Source organism: Homo sapiens, chromosome 3 (assembly GCF_000001405.40).
Source record: "Homo sapiens chromosome 3, GRCh38.p14 Primary Assembly".
Taxonomy (NCBI): domain Eukaryota; kingdom Metazoa; phylum Chordata; class Mammalia; order Primates; family Hominidae; genus Homo; species Homo sapiens.
In genome coordinates this window covers 63,783,528-63,801,432 of record NC_000003.12, presented here as the reverse complement: position 1 = coordinate 63,801,432, position 17,905 = coordinate 63,783,528, and the positions used below count along the sequence as shown (strand labels likewise).

Below are 17,905 nucleotides of genomic sequence, written 5' to 3'. Positions count from 1 at the left end.
AGGACAGGGACCATGCCTCTTTTGCTTCTTCTTGCTCTGTTTTTTTTTATTTTTGTCTATTTATTTTTTCACCGTGTATGTATCTCTTTCACTTTCTCTCTTTCTCATCTCTGTCTCTTTCTATGTAGTCAAATATTTAATGCCTACATGTTCTCTACTATAAAAAAAAATTTGAGGCTCAGATATTGGAGTGGCCACTAACTGGAGAGAATTACTTGTCTTGTCTAAGCTTCAGTTTCCCCATTGATTAAACTGAGATATTAATCCCATCTTGATGAGGCTCAGGGTTTTAAAGTGCCAGGTACACAGTAGGTGCTCAACAAGTGTCTCCCTTTTTTCCCTTCCCCAGGGCAGACGGTAAACTCCTCCTGGGCAGATACAAGGTGAAATTATGCTCTTCTGACTTCTAAAACTGCGAGCTTGGTGCCAGAGTGCTTGTGGACACTTGATGAGCATTTGCTTATCAGATGAGCAGGTCCTGGCTACCCTCTAAGCAGGCCCATTGACCCTTTGGCTATCCACATATCCTGCCTTCTTGGCACAATTGTGCAGCAGTTTCCCCTGGGTGGTTCTTCCCCTCAGACACTCAAGGATCTCTTACTGCCTCAAGGTTCCTGTTGCTTGGAAAAGGGATTCCACTGGCAAATTTGCAAGTTTGTATTCCTCACTGTTTTAAAAACATATGGGAAGAGTGCAAAATTAAGGACAAGACAAATTTTAATAAAATAATTAGGCAATATTAACGTATTAGCTATGTGACCTTGAGCCAGTTATTCAATCTTTCTAAACCTTAGTAAAATGGAAATGATGATAAAGTCACCAGTGATGTTAAGTGCTTAGTAATTAATAAGCACTCAAAACATGTTCAACATTGTTCCTGTTTAAATGTATAAATCTCATTGGTCTATACTTGACACATAAGAGACACTTGACAAATGGTATATTATTATTATTATTATTATAGGTTTAATGGGAATACCCCTATAAAACATCTGTGCTGAGCAAGCGCAATGCCTTAAGTTTTATCTGAAATTCACGATTGGATGAGAGGTTTTAGGCTTATGGGGGTGATGCTCATTCAAGCACATCTGTTGTACATTTTCTGGCAGTTACTGAGATTTATATCCTGAAAGATATTGCCCCAGGCACAGTCATTTACTGAGCAGCGGCCAACGACCCAGAGGATACCGTTTTGGAGGTAATTTATGCTTTGGGACAGAGAATAACAGTGCCTAGTGGTTTTATGTGTGATTGAATTCAAATATAAAGCCATGGAGGCAATCAAGTCATTTATACCCACAACTTAGGTTTCAAACATACCTTTGCCTCAATTATCAGGATACTTTAGGTGAAAATGATTAAGGTCTGGGTTGTCCAGGTAATTGCTTCCCTTCTAGTACATTCCATCCTGTGCAGGCCGACCCAACCTAATCCTTAAGTAACTTTAGCAAAAGATGTCAAGACATTTCATTTTGTTCTTAGGAATCTTGGCTATACACAGGTAGAGAAAGAATCCAGCTTTCTGGCAGAATTAATTTGTATTTCAAAACTCTAGGTCTCGTCCTCAGGTTTTATAATGCCCTAGATGGAGAGGAAACTATGGGCTTGGTACCAAGAGGCTTGGGTTTAAGTTCTTACTCTACTACTGCAAATCACTTAACATTTCTGCTTTGCTGTTTCAACTGTAAAATTGGGAAAATGACACCTGCTTTTTCTTGTCTCATATTGCTTTCTCTCATTATAATTAAACATAATATTTGATTATGTTTATATGAACATGAAAGTAGTTTTTAAACTGTAAAACATTTTGCAAATGATAGGCTTTATAATAATGTCTTAATTTTTTATGCCATATGGAACGGTTATGGCATTATTAAACTATAATATTTTAGCTAATGAATTGATAGAAAATAATATTGTGTCTTTCATTTTTAGTGTTGTATTGCCTTCCCAGACTGGCTAAAAATTACACAATTGAACATGTTGATGCTGTACACTCAATATTTACAACTTTTGGTAATGCTATTGGATACTTGCTCCAGGCAACTTGAATCATACAAAATTTTCTTTAAGCAGTAGATGTCCACTAATATTTGAGGTATTGTCCACATGGTTTTAAAAAGTATTGAGTACACTTGAATAATTACACAAGCTTCCCCACACACATTTGTCTCCTCCTTCTCCCAATAGCACAATGCCACATCCAGGATGGGACTGGAAAGGTCACAGCTTTCTCTGTAACATGCAATTCAACCACGTAATCATGCATATTGCTCCAAATCAGCATGTTCAAGATTATAGGATTGAATGCAGCACTGAGCAGCTCCAGCCGCACAGGAATCAGATATCATAACACAATTGCTTCCTTGTTGTTCTCCATGGCAGCTCACCCACCTAAAATGTTGACATTATAGGGCATAAAACACACCACAGTCCAATAGGGTTTAGCTGTGACTCCAATGTACAATCAAAATGACTTACTAGACAATTAATGCAAGTAATTCATTTCAAATAAAGGACTTCTAAATGCTTGCTCATAGAGATTAAATGTTTCTGGTTCCGGCCCTACACTTTTCACAGAAGAGAATTTGTTCCTGGGCCATATTTGGAAGGTCTATGCAATGTTCTCTCAGAATTTCACCAATCATGGAATGACATTTCAGCGGTGACATAGGCTGTGGAAACTTACATTTAGACACACTCCTACATACATCATTGTGACACAGTAGATCAGGCCAGATGCTATTCATGTACTCATGACTGGGTTACAATATTCATTTGTTTCAGTCTTTATATTGATTCACAGAAAAACAAGTTCTAATATTAGGAAGAGGCTGCCACTGTTTTGGGGCCTGATGATGATGATGATAGTAAAATAATATTAATAACTATTAAGTGTTTATTATGTGATAGGCACATACTTTATATATTAAATCCCCATGTTAATCCCTGTAGTAGATGCTATTGTTGCTATAGTATTACCTAATATATTGCTAAAGAAGTATTATATTTTTAATTTATAGAGGAGGAATATGAGGCCAATAGAAATGAAGTAATTTGCCTCAACAGTAAGTAGTGGAGTTACAATTCAAATTCATGTCCATCTTGCTCTAAATCTTGCATGTTTCCTATCATACCAACAGTTCCCAAAGTATTCCACAAAACACACAGTTTACCAGATGCTCCATGAGAAAAATAAAAGATCCTGTGATCAAATTATTTTGGGAAATGATGTCTACACATCTCCCCTGAATTAACAATACACAGCACATTAAATTCCCTGTGGAGTTGTCTAATAGAGAGATGTGTGTTTAATCAAATTTGTTCCAATTATTTGTCCATTGCACTTAAAAAAATGTAACACCTGTTAACATCTTATACAATGCCTAACTAGAATCCACAGAGTAGGAAGATTGTGCTAGATCACCCTGTAAGATTGATCTAATATGATCTATCTCTGGGGTTATTAGAAAGATGAAAGGTGAAAGATGAAATTCCATAGTAATTGCTGAATAAATGACAATGTAACGAGTCTGGATTATATCCACATCTAGACCTACCTAAATTCCAGGGCCAGGGCTTTTCATACTTCACCACCATTGCTACTCTACATGTTAAGAATCCCTGATATTTGTTCTGAGATGTAGAAAAAGTGGGACTTCTCATCTTCACAACAAAGAAAGGCTGAACAAAATGAAAATCAAAACTTTTCTTGGACGCCTTAGGGCAAACTGCCACTCCAAAATCTGGAGTGACAGGTAAACGGAAGACTGCTAGCCAATCTCTGCTTATTTGGCACAGAAGCTTCTGGAACCATAGACTGGTAGGAAGATATACTTGGTAGCTTTGATGAATTACTGGAGGCTAAGTGTGGACTAGCAGGAGAGTGAGAAACTGTGTGTCACAGTCTTGTGAGGGTAGTCCTACACTTTTGTAAGTTTTACCGTTATGAACTCTACTGGGTTCTCACAGCAAAGATCCAAGAAAGAACACCTTGTGTCTCTGGGAGAGGGAAGAGAAGAGAATCATGGTGAAATAATCCCAGAGTTTTCTGCAGGACAAAGGCCTACCCTCCAAAGGAAAAGTCTTTGTCTGAGCCTTATATTATCTGGGACTCATCTACCAGATTTTATATATTCACACATAACTGCATACACACACATACCCCTAGACATACCATATTCAAGCCTCAGAAACCAAAGAGAGAGAGAGAAAATCTTGAAACATGCCAGAGGGAAAAACACCTTACCTATAGAGGAACAGGATAAGAATTACAGCAGACTTTTCATTAGAAACCAAACAAAATGAGAGTGGAATGAAGTATTTAAAATGAGATTTTATTGAAATTTAAATAAAATATATCCAACAAAATTATATCAAGTCATCAAATTCCATACCTTAGATATATCCAATTTTAAATTGAGGTCAAATATACCTCAAATAAACAAAAAAAGCTAAAGAGAAATAAAGACTTTCTCAGACAAACAAAAACTGAGGAAATTCATGACCACCAGACACCTGTCCTGCAAAAAATGTTAAAGAAGTTCCAGGGAGAAAGAAAATTATATGGCGCAGAAACTTGGATCTGCATAAAGAAGGATATAGAAGGAATAAATGAAGGTAAAGTATATGTATTTCTCCTTTTAGTTGATCTAAAAGATCACTTTAATACTAACAGTGTATTGGGTGATTATATCAAGTGCGTAAGTGAAATGAATGGCAGCAACATCATAAGTGACAAGAGGAGAAACTGGAAATAAGAACTTTCTTATAAGATACCCACACTATCTATAAAGTCATATAGTGTTATTTGAAGCTACACTTAGATTAGTCAAAATTGTATATTGCATATATCTTGGGGTAGAATGTTGCTGACAAAGGCCCCGAGGAAGAAACAGGCTAGCATTTATTTGGAAGGCACCACAAAGATAGTGATTTAATTGAAGAGCAAAGAGTGAGTGGGAGAATTAGAAAGAAGACATTGGAGATGTAGCCAGCAATCAGATTTTGTGGGTTCTTTTAAACATTGGTAAGGATTCTGGATCTTCTTTTGGCTAATGTGGGATTAATCCCCTTGGAAATTTTTGGTAGGGGAATGAATCATATTAATATTTTTAAAAGATCAAACTATCTTGTGTGTGAAAAAGTTGACGGTCAAGAGGCAAGAGTGGAAGCAGGGAGACCATTTAGAGGTGACTGCCACAGTCCAGGTGAGAGATGATGGGGGCAGTTGGGGTGATGAGAAGTTATTGCATTTTACATATTTTTCCCAACATTTCATTATAGAAAATTTTAAATATACCAAAAAGGTGAAAGAGCTGAAAAATTGAAAGAGTGAACACCCATATACCCACCACTAGATTCTATTATTAATATTTTACTGTCTCTGCATTATCACATTATCCATTTTTGTATCCATATATGAATTCCTCTTATTATATTTGTGTACTTCAAAGTAAATTGCAAACATGGTTGCCCTTTCCCCCTAAACACGTTGGCAGTTTGCATATATTTTGGAGGTAATGTTGACAAACTTGACAAATTGGGTGTGGGATATAATGGAAAGAGAGGGATCAAGATTGTTTCTAGGTTTTTGGCCTGAGCAACTCATTAAAGAGAAATGAAGTTGAGGAGGAAAATCACGTGCTTTGTTTTGAACATGTTTACATTGAGAAGCCAATTAAACAACCAGAAAGAGTAGGCAAGTAGGTTTAAAAATACGTAGTTCATCAAAGACATGGGGCCTGGAGTGTCAATGTGGAATTACCAGTTTGTACACAGTGTTTACAGCCTGGAACCAAATGAGATCACCTCGGGCGGTTAGAAGGAAGAGGACGATTGAGCAAATGAGATTGAACAGGACCAGCAAGGTAAAAGGAAAATCAGGAGAGTGGAGTGTCTCCCAGAAGTATAGGGCTGTCACTGGTAGAGGGTCGTGACTGCAAGTTGTCCAGATTCTTGGCATTTTGAACAAAGAATTGGACAAAAGGACCAGCAAAGCAAAGAACGAGTGAGGCAATGAAAGAATAAAGCAGGCATTAATTGAAAACGAAAGAACATTCCATAGTGTGGGAACAGACCTGAGCAGCAGCTCAAGGGCAAGGATACAGGATCTTCTTGGGTTCAAATACCCCCTAGACGTTTCCCATTGGCCACTTCCTGCTCACCTCATGTAAATAAAATGGTAGCCCTCAATCAGTCTGATTGGTTGCAGAAAGCAGCCAACCAGAGGCTGAAGTGAAGTTAAAAAGGTCACATTCCTATGCAAACATCTGATTGGTTGCAAAAAGTAACCAATCAGAGGCTGGGGTGAAGTTACAAAGTTAAACTTCTATGCAAACAAAGGCTCTGCCCGCAATCAGTCTGATTGGTTGTGAACAGCAACAATTCAGAGGCTGGAGTGAAGTTAAAAATTTGCAAAGGGAGACGGGACGGCAACCAGGCTGATTTATTGCAGACAGCCAATTTCCCACCTGCAGGGCAGAAAAGGTGGGGGGTTTGCAGAGTGTAGCCTCTGATCCTTTTGTTACTTAGGTATGGAAAGTTAGGGTTTTCCTTTCAATTTAGTTCTAGGAAGTGGTAGTGAAACAGCCTTAGGTTCCCTGCCTCCAGACCCTATTTTCCTGCCTCAGGACGATGTATTTCAAGGAGAGATTGGTCAAGTGCAGCTGAGATGTTGAGGGAGATGAGAACTGAGATCACCAATCACTGAAGTGGCAAAATGCTAATTGCTAGAACTCAGACAAGTACCTGGCACATAGGAGGTGTTTAATGAGTGAATGAAAGGAGATCTTTGGTGACCTTGATAAGTGGGTTCATTTGGTGAAGTGAGAATGAAAGTCTAATTGGAGAAGTTTCAAGAGAATGATAGGTGAGGAAAGTAGCCATAGTGAGCAGAGACAACTTTCGAAGAATTTTCCTAAAAAGCAGAGCAGGGAAATAGGATAGTACCTAAAGGAGATTTTGGAATCAAGGGAAATTTTTACTTTGGAATGATGAGAAATATTATAGCATGCTCTATGTGGATAGGGATAATCCAATAGAGAGGAGAAAATGAATAATGCAGGAGTTAGTGACAACAGTTGTTGAAGTGATGGCATCCAGGCATGAGTGGAGGGCCTACTGTCAGAAGCACAGTTTGTTTATAGAAACGGAGGAAGATGGGGTATAAGGGAACATATTCAAAATGGCAAGTAGAGTAATTGCATGTTCGTTCTTTTGCCCTTCCAACAATGTGTGTGTGTGTGTGTGTGTGTGTGTATGTGTGTGTAGGTATTTGAGATGGAGTCTTGCTCTCTTGCCCAGGCTGGAATGCAGTGGCATGATCGTAGTTCACTGAAGTCTCAACCTCCCAGGCTCAGGTGATCCTCCCATCTCAGCTTCCTAAGTAGCAGGGACTACAGGTGCATGTCACCACCACTGGCTAATTTTTTAAATTTTTGTAGAAACAGTGTCCTGCTATGTTTCCCAGGCTGGTCTCAAACTCCTGGGCTCAAGCGATTGTCCTGTTTGGCCTCAGTAAATGCTGGGATTACAGGTGTGAGCCACCACACCTGACCAACAATTATTTATTGAGCGCTTATTTGTCCCAAGCATATTCTAAGAAGTGGGGCTTTAACAGTGAAGGAAACAGACAAAAATCTCTGCTCTCATGGAGCTGATATTCTAGCGGTAGGAAGATTGCCCATATATTTTGGTATATCAGATGCTGCCTAGTGTGACGGAGCAAAATAAAGCAGTGAAAAGGATAAGGAACTCTATAGAGGAATAGTTTGCAATTTTAAAACGATAATCAAGAATTTTAAATAGTGGCAGTGGATATTTTCTTCTGATTGCTTCCACTCAGTGAAATAAGAAATGAGGCCAGCAGCAGAGAGTGAGGAGAGGGAGGGGGTTGTGGGGAGTGCTGGAGACTCGAAGAAGGGGAAAAAGGCATGAATTTGCTGCCTCCAAGAGAAGGAGAGGGAATTGTCCAGAGAAATGTGAAAGGGAAAGGGAACATTCAGAGAAGAGGTGGAGGATAAAAGGGGGGTTGCTGATGAGAGACTAAATTTTTGAGGACATATTGAAAGGGTTTGATGATATCAGTGGGATAAGCGGTTGTCCTGGTGATGAGGACTGAACTTCCTGGGATGACTGAGATATGTGAGGTATGATGGATATGTCCTGGTGGTTGCTTAAAGGTGGCAGGAGGTGAATAGTCTGCATTGATTATAATTTATGCTTGAGACTAGTCTCTTAGGAGATTTAAACAGTTGATATAGTCATTGCCCTTGAAGGAGAATAAGGGTGGCTATCTTTTTGGGAACAGAAAGAGCTCTTTGGGGTTTCCTTAAAACCCACTGTGGTCAGTGTCAAGAAGGAGAGCGTGTGAAAGGAGTGGGAACCCATTCATGGCATCACTACACAGGAATCCATAATTTAAGTCTATTCGCAGAAATAAAAATGAAGATTTGTCAATGGTTAACCTGGTCAAAGTAAACAGACAACGAAACAAGACAAAACAAAAATGTTTTGCTGTTCATGTAATACCACATCACCTGGATAGTGCCGACGCACACAAATCTTTTCTCATATTTATTAAAAAGGTGAGATTACCTAGGGATGTAAACCTTTTGCACCTAGTAGAAAAACTAACTCTTTGGGCTACTTGATGCCAATTTACATAGCAAGGGAATGGTTGTCTTTTACCTAATCGGTTTGTGGTCCTGTAGACATATCAATGCTCCTATAAAATTGTATTATCTGTGTTCTTCCTTCACGTAAACAGGCAGTGGGCCTTGTTTTTCTTAATTCATAATAGACTCTCAGGAAATGTTTGCAGAACCACTTGAGAGATTAATTTCTGGGTTGCTCCCAGTGTCCTGGTCTTCTACCCTAACGTCATCTTAAAATTTTATCTTTTTGTGACACCAAGAGAAAGGGGGGAAAAGGTTTGAGTCATATGATATGATGTTAGATAATTTTGTTATGTGATGAAATATCATTTAGTTTAGGCATAGAGTGGCCAAATAAACTTGAGAATGGAGGCAATTATCTGGGTTATTCACGCCGAAAAACAATTTGGCTTGAAGTAGCTATATAATTGTGGAAAAGTGATTTTAAGAAAAGCTTTAATTATCTAGAAAAATATCTTTAATTCTTCAAGTGAAAGTCAGGTATTTGGAGAAAACCACAATCACAGTTTTAACAAATATTTTTGGGGCAGTTGTTTACTTCATAGTTGCACAACTTGCAACATCCTCCACAAGATGGCATGCAAGTTTGTAACATACTGTAGCTGGTAGTCATGCCATTGCTAAATCATTTTGCTGCAAGCAATAAAGTCCAAACAATTGCACAATGAATTATTATTTTCTGTGTTACACACTGCAAATGTATACATTCTGGCAACGTTTTCTATAGGTAAAGATGATTGTTTTACAGAGGTATGTATGTCTCTGAGTGTAAATATTTGAAGGATATACGAAAAGAAATCAAGAATTTAAGTCTTTTCACGCAAGATGAAGATCTGGCATCAGTTAGCATGTTTAAGTCAACACTTTGTTGAAGGCCCAAGACAAAACCAACAAAAAAGTCCTGATGTTCACATTTGAAAAAGAAATTTTTATGAGACTAAGGAAGAAATTATAAGAAAATATTTATTTTTAGGAGGATTTATTTCATTGTTTTAAAGTATTCTTGAAAATATTGCCTGGAACAACTGGAATATAGCATGGCAATTCATGGTGAATATTACTGTGGTTCTTTGTCTTGACTGCAACAATAGAACCAAGTGGGATGCTTTTAATAAAACACAAATGCCAGGGCCCCCTCTCAGACCAATTAAATCAGAATCTCTTGGGGTGGGCCCAGGCATCAGTATTTTTTAAAAGCTCCCTAGGCATTCTGATGGTACCAGAGGCATCAGAGTTCACTGACAGTATTGGGTGCCTTCTCATTTGCTCACCGCAGGCATCACTAACTGAACCTGAGCTCACCTTTTCTCTCAGTACAATGCTCTGGGTAGCCTTTACCAATCAATTCAGAGATGAAATGAAACCCACTTGCTAACAGACTTATCAAAGAATATGGGAGGGACAGAATTAAATGCTACTCACATATAAGGTGATTGATTTCCTAATATGGTAACTAACTCTGCTTTCTAGTATGATTCAGCCAAACAATTATTTCAGCCTTCTCCAACAAAGGAAGTTTTAGAGACTGCAGTGGACAATATCCATGCTCTTCCCATATCCCTTTGGATACCTTTTTGCCATTTTTGTGTGGTGCACCCCATTCTCCACCAATTTCAATGTGCTTCTGCTTCCATCACCCAGAAGAGAGGGCTGCCTTTGGGTGTTTCTTGCAGGTTGAAAAAACAAAAAGTACCTGGGAATTTACATCTCCCTGGAGTAACCCTTAACCACTCAATGAATATGAAAGCCCCATCTCTTTTCCTTGTGTGGGGACAACTCTGAGGCATAACGTGTACTCCTGAGCTTGCCTACAGGGCCAAGCTAAAGCTGCATCTGTGGGACTTTGCAATCACACTTTTGTTTGGCTTCCTTGCCATCTCAATCCCTCTTCCACAGTTTTTCTGAAGCACTTACTAAATAAATTCCACACAAATTTTCATCTTAGGGTCTGTTTCTGGGGAAACCTGAAGATACATATCAAAAACAAAGGCCACTGAGCTGCAAGAGAACCTATACAAACCAAGTGTTAAATCATGCAGTTAATCGTCTAATGGGAAGATGTGAAAGAATGATGAATACTGATCTACTCAGATCCATGAAAGATGTAGGTCTTAAATAGATTACTGCATTGAGGTGCCAAAAAAAAAAAAAAAAAAGAGGTAGATGTGCTATAGCAAGATCCTAGACTTGGCTGCACTATGAAATTATACACCATTTAATAAATATTCGTTCCCAGGTTACACCCCCAAGATTCTGATTTCACTGGTCTCAGGTGTGTTCTGGACGTTGTCCCATTTAAAGCTCTCCAGGTGGTTCTATTGTATAGCCAAGGTTGAAAATCGCCTTAAAAGAACCAGATTCAGAGTACATAAACATTACTTTGGTCAGCCTGTTAGAAATTCACATTCCTGGGCCCACCTACACCAGGTATTAGGATTCAACAATTCTGCATATATTACAAATATTTGTTTTCAGATGTCTTGGCTGCTACCAGGGAAACAGTAAACACCTGGGTAAGTCCACTGAGAAAATCCGGCTAGGTCAGGGATGGCAAATCATACTCCACTTGCATACCCTCTCTTATTGATGGATAGAGGCTCTCAGGAGTGTTGAGAAGGATTCTGAGGCTGGGTCTGGGTTCAGCAAGCAAAGATACTACAGCGAAAACTTGCATAGAGGTGTCTAGCTTTATAGCTGGCTATAAGGACAATGTATTAGAGTGGTTCATAAGGATTTGTGCTAGGAAGGATAATGGCTCTAATAGTCCAGTGGACGTTTACAGGTAAAAAACCATTCCTATTGCTTATAAAGTGGATGTATGAGAGGGATCTAATATACTGTGGAGGAAAGGAAAAAGGATTTCATGTAAAGTGTGAAGTCTCAAGCTTTCAAGGGCAAGCATATGTCCCATTGTACTTCCTTTTTTTTTTTTTTTTTTTTTTTTGAGACAGAGTCTTGCTCTGTCGCCCAGGCTAGAGTGCGGTGGCGCCATCTTGGCTCACTGCAACCTCTGCCCCCAGGGTTCAAGCAATTCTCCTGCCTCAGCCTCCCTAGTAGCTGGGATTACAGGTGTGCACTACCATACCCGGTTAATTTTTGTATTTTTAGTAGAGATGGGTTTTCTCCATGTTGGCCAGGACGGTCTTGAACTCCTGACCTCAGGTGATCCACCCTCCTCAGCCTCCCAAAGTGCTGGGATTACAGGCGTGAGCTACTGCACCCGGCCCCCTGTTGTACTTCTGTTGAAAATGCTCAGGGTGAAGTGATATTCTACTCTACATAGTCCCAAAATGAAGATTCAAAGTTACACTAATGTAATGGATAGGATTATATGTGTATTTATAGTTTGAAACTATTTTCTTAAAAGTGTATCTCTCCTATACAAGGTTTTGTAGATCAACGGTCTTCAACCTTTTTGGCACCAGGGACTGGTTTTGTGGAAGACAATTTTTCCATGAATGGAGGAAGGGGAGATGGTTTTAGGATGAAACTGTTCCACCTCATATCATCAGGCATTAGCTGAAGTCTCATAAAGAGCGTGCAGCCTAGATCCCTTGTATGCGCAGTTCACAATAGGGTTCACACTCCAATGAGAATCTAATGCCCACTGACCTGACAAAAGGCAGAGCTCAGGTGGTAATGCCCGCTCGCCCGCCGCCCATCTTCTGCTGTGAGGCCCAGTTTCTAACAGATGACGTACCAGTACTGGTCTGTGGCCTGGGGGTTGGGGAACCCCTGTTGTAAGTGATCAGTGATTAGCCAATATTTGTGCTTCAAAAGAATCATAAAATATTTTTCTATTAGGAAAAAAAAATCAGCCCAGATCATACTTCAGTACTAATACCCCTCAAGAAAATGTTACTCTGGGTCGATCAACCGAACTAGACATAGTATATCAGCAGAAGAGCACGGATTCTAAGGTTAGTAGCTTAGGTTAAAATTTGGGCTTTGTTAGTTTCTAGCTTTGTGACCCTGGGCAAGTCTCCTAACCTTTCTGTACCTCAGTTTTTTTTGTTTTTTTTTTTTAAATTGTAATAGGGTTAATAATAGGATCTTCCTCCGGGCTGTTATGAGGATTAAATGAGGTTAAAGAAAGAAAGAACGACTGTGTCTTATTTTGTTTCCTGGTTTACCCCTCTCTGTTGGCCCTTCCAATGTTGCAAGTTCTCAGGGCTCCATTTTAGACCATTCTTCTCTTGCCTTGTCCTCCCCTTCTGTCCCCTTCCTGTCCTTTCTTTCCTTATCCTTCCTCATCTTCCTCTGTAAACAGTGACACTGAGTTGCTCCGTAACAACGTTTTCACCCACCTAGATTCTTTAATCCCCTCTCAAAATGTTTTTAAAACAAGTTTAAAAATAGAAAGACATATTGTATTTCTCCCAGGAATGTAGTCTTCCATGAGACCAGCAGAATAACATAATGGCTCTGGAGTCAGAAAGACTTGGGTTTGAATTTCAGCCTAACCACTCACTAGTTATGTATTCTTGGATCACTTCCTTAACATTTGCAAGCCTCAGTTTCCTCACCTGTAAGATGGGCTAGCATTATCTCAAGGGTTAAATGAATTCATTAAGGAACAACCTGAGCACAGGGTCAGAGTAACTGATAGCTATCACTGTTGTTATTTTTATTATCAATGATGCTAAGAACCCAGAAGAATCCAGCCATGGTTTCTATGTCCCTGCTCTTGAAGCACCAAGCTTGCCAGCTGTTGGAGAGGCTCTAACTCTTCTCATTGTGTTTGACCTGAAGTTTGGGCACTGACATTTCCAATTCCCAAGCTTCTCTAAAAGCAAATAGTCATGAACAAGGCTTTCAGAGAAGGGAATAAAGCGGATTCTGTGGATAAGTCCATCCAGAAAAACTGATGGCTCCTTTTGACACACATTCTCCCCAGTAATCTGTTCTCATGCTTCAGAACCTGGGAGTTGGGTTGCCATTGTTATTTTGTGGCTCAAATATTTCTTCACCAGTTGATGGCATCATTACAGATACAATGGGAGGGGAAAAAAACAAACAGAAAAAGAATCTAAGTTGCCTGGCCCCACAGAGAGTTAATTTCTCATCCCTAGGACTGCTTTCCTGTTCGGGGGAAACTTTCATTTCGGTGGCTTTCCCGGTGATGGCCCTGGCTGCCTAGCAACCACCATCTCCAAACCTTCCCTAAAGGACAGTGGGAGTTGTTCATATCAGTGTCATCAAATTTTTTTTTAAAAAAGGGTATTGAATTTTATGAAAAATTAAACCTCATGAAGATGTAGCTTCCCCATGTGCATTGCTCCCAAACAGTTGTTGACAACTGTGTGACACCGAAATTGAATTTGGAACTGCAAACATAAATGCAAGCATCTTTTAAAAATCATATATATTTATATATAACCAGACCCAGTGTCTGTGAGTGCTCTCAGGTAATTTAACCACAACTGCCTTTCTTCCTTTCCCCATGAAATAAGCATTATTATTCCCGTGTTTGACGTAAAAGTAAATATGTAATGGATTTGCCTGTGTTCCTGAATGCTAATATTCTACATTGTTCTACAGAAAGAGCAGAAATCAAGTCCATCTCATTTACATATATGGAAATGGATGGTATGAATTAAAACGAATCAGAACATGATGATTCATCAGAAAGTCGATAAATTAAAAGGTCACTCATTTCTCCAAAAGATTTTGAGGTTGCTTTGCAGTTCTTCTGGGCTTAATCTTCTCTATTAAATGATCTCTGTGTCTACACAATTGTTAAGTAAATAGCACTCAGGGTAATGAACTCTTGATATTAATTCTCTTATGGATTTTTGCCCTGGATTTTTCTGGTCATTTGATTCTCACCTAGATGAGAGACCCTGACTTCCACTGCTGTCTTTCTCGAGAAGTTTATCTTAGGGATAAAATGTGGAGAACAGAGAGACATGATGTAAAGTGACTAAACACTCAGCTCTCAAACTGGGGACAAGCCACTTGAAATTTCTAAGCCTGTGTTTCTATCTGTGAGATAGGGATAATATCAGTACCTATGACATAGAGTTATTGTGAGAATTAAAAGACAACGTGTTTGAAGCACTTAACAGAGCAACTGGAAGGCAGTATAAATGAAAATCAAAGACAGGTTAAGAAAACAACTTGATAAAATATTGCCTGTGCCTACACATACAAATTCAGATGAACAGACGTCGGAGTATTTCATATTTTTTTTCCTTCTTTAGCTCCACGACCTCCCTCCACATAAAAGCCCATTCTTTCCATCAACAAGCAAACAAACAAAATTATCCCTGAGTTCTCATTAAACAGTCAGCATGTTTCTCTAAATGTAAACTCCTTTTTATTTAATTTTAGCATTGGGGGAAGTGTTGTGAGAAATGTTCAGATAACATACTGAACATAAGAGAACAGGAAAATTCATTTTTCTATTCTTGAAAAAGAATAGAAATTTTTCAAGAATAGAAACTTGAAAGAATTGAAACTTGAAATTGGTTGAATGGAATATAACTTCATCATCATCATCATCAGTTACGAACATTTACTGAGCGTCTATCATGTATAGGGGAGGGGGGTCAGGGGAGTGGGAATGGGCTCAGAGCACAAAGAGATTTCACGCCTGGTTTTTAGAGATGCGTGGAATCAGGCCAGGGAAGTAGTTGATGTATCTGCAATATTTTGCTTTCTCTTTACTGTCCAATAAACAGTACTTCATTTCCCCGGAGGGCTCTGGCTTTATAATTGACAGCATCGGAACAATTTCCACAGCAGCAGTTTTTGATTTTGAAAGTGAATCTAGAAGGTAAATACTACTACTGGGTTTTCATTTGGAATGCCAGTTCTTTGGTTCGTATTTCCCTTTTCATGAATATTTTCCCTCATCTGGCCTTGATGTGCTCCCCAAATTAAGATGCTTTTGGTGGTTTTCTTTTTTTTAATGAAATCATTACTTAACAGATAGTTGCATGGTGGCTGGTTGATGCTAGACTTGGCTGTTGGGGCTCCTCTCTGCATCATCCTGTTTTCAGAGTGAAGCCACGATTATTTTGGGGGTGGCATTTGCATCCTGCTGTGGAAGTAGGTGAATACTCCTCTCTGGATACCTGTGACACCAAATTCATTCACCGTGTAATACAGTATCTTTAAAAAGTTAATGCACACACATGCCATCTCCTAAGTGGGTAGCCACTGGTTCAAGTTATTATTTTTATTTTTGTAGTGATTTTTATGAACACCCTTTTCAGTCATATGTTCTGCATCAATGTGCTTCATAGGAAAAGGAAATGGACCTTTAAACCTTTCCAATCAAATTGCTCCTGAATCTGATAAGATATTCTTTTCTATTATGAAAGCTGAGGATGGGATATATCCTAAGTGTTAGCATCTTTAGAAGAGAAGTCCAGTGGAGGCCAGGCACGGTGGCTCACGCCTATAATCCCAGCACTTTGAGAGGCCGTGGCAGGTGGATCATGAGGTCGGGAGATCAAGACCATCCTGGCTAACACAGTGAAACCCTGTCTCTACTAAAAATACAAAAAAAATGGCCGGGCATGGTGGCGGGCGCATGTAGTCCCAGCTACTCGGGAGGCTGAGGCAGGAGAATGCGTGAACCCAGGAGGCAGAGCTTGCAGTGAGCCGAGATCACGCCACTGCACTCCAGCCTGGGTGACAGAGCAAGACACTGTCTCAAAAAAAAAAAAAAAAAAAAAAAAAGAAGAAGAAGAGAAGTCCAGTGGAGACTAGGGGCCCACACATCATATGAGATTACCTCTCAGTGAAACAGATTAGGAGTTCAAAACTAGACGAGATCTGCAGCATTAAAGAATTCAAGCTACCTGGGGTCTAGCTGAATGCTGGAGGGTTGATGACAGCAAGGAAGGAAGAAAGCAATTAGCCTTTCTAACACTTTCACTTTTTTTTTGAGATGGAGTCTCACTCTGTCGCCCAGGCTGGAGTGCAGTGGTGCGTATTTGGCTCAATCCAACTTCTACTTCCTGGATTCAAGTGATTCACCTGCCTCAGCCTCCTGAGTAGCTGGGAGATTACAGGTATGTGTCACACGCCCGGTTAATTTTTGTATTTTTAGTAGAGATGGGGTTTCACCATGTTGGCCAGGCTGGTCTCAAATTCCTGACCTCAGGTAATCCACCTGCCTCGGCCTCCCAAAATGCTGGGATTACAGGTGTGAGCCACCATGCCTGGCCAAAAAAATGGGATATGCTGTCTTCTGCCAGCTTCTTAAAGTCAGCTGTATGCATTATCTTTATATATTTTTTTAGTAGAAATTGCCAAAATCTTTATCCATTTTCCTTTAATTCCACTGCTGTGCCCCATGACAAACAATTATTTGCATTATCTTATTTCATAAATCACTCTGGGAATAATGGATTATAGCCATCACAGTTTTGTTTTTCTTTTCTTTTTGGCCTGGTGTATCTCATGGAAGAGTGATTATGCACAAGCAAGGTATTTATAAATCCCCAGATTTGTTAATAATGGGAGTAAAAGTTGTTAATGACTTTTTAACAAACTAACTTTTTCTTGATAAGTGAAAACTAAATCTTTCCTTTTTCTCAGTATGATTTAAATCAAAGGAGCTAACATGGGACAAGTTAACCTTTGTTTGCAGAATTTGAATAAATAAGTATTTGGCTAAAGCTTTGCAATGGGACCTCATTGAAGTTTTACAGAGAGTAACTATTCCTTAATTTCCTTCTTAGCTGCAGAGCTTCTAGGGTCACTGAGCAGACCTTTAAGTGAGAGTCAAGGAAATTTTGAAATGCCTCATTGACTTTTATCAATTCTCTCCATTCTCTCCTTTCAAAAAAAGATATAGGGGCCATGAAATCACTTGTTCAAGTCCTGATGAAAGTGTTAGAAAGGCTCATTGCTTTCTTCCTTCCTTGCTGTCATCAACCCTCCAGCATTCAGCTAGACCACAGGTAGCTTGAATTCTTTAGTGCTGCAGATCTCATCCATACCTTATTCCTTCTATTCTTGTAGTAAAGGCTTCCCAGAATTAATTAATTAATTAATGAATTAATTAATTTAATTTTTTTTTGAGATGGAGTCTCGCTGTGTTGCCCAGGCTGGAGTGTAGTGGCACAGTCTCGGCCTACTGCAAGCTCAACCTCCTGGGTTCACACCATTCTCGTGCCTCAGCCTCCCAAGTAGCTGGGACTACATGTGCCCGCCACCACACCTGGCTAATTTGTGTGTGTGTGTGTGTGTGTGTGTGTGTGTGTGTGTGT

At 39.4% G+C, this 17,905-nt stretch overlaps 1 protein-coding gene and 1 pseudogene across 3 annotated transcripts in view; one reads left to right on the top strand and one right to left on the bottom strand.

Moving 5' to 3' along the window:
* Positions 1-17,905, top strand: part of CDHR18P (cadherin related family member 18, pseudogene) — a 55,641-nt pseudogene that overhangs the window by 12,205 nt on the left and 25,531 nt on the right. The window contains exon 2 of one of the 2 annotated variants that reach the window (NR_197413.1): positions 16,579-16,702. The exons of the other annotated variant lie outside the window; for it this stretch is intronic. The product of NR_197413.1 is annotated as a cadherin related family member 18, pseudogene, transcript variant 1 (transcript). The remainder of the gene's footprint in view (positions 1-16,578; positions 16,703-17,905) is intronic. 2 annotated transcript variants of the gene reach the window in all.
* The window catches only part of C3orf49 (chromosome 3 open reading frame 49), a 68,930-nt gene that overhangs the window by 47,204 nt on the left and 3,821 nt on the right, over positions 1-17,905 (bottom strand). The gene's annotated exons all lie outside the window — the stretch shown is intronic.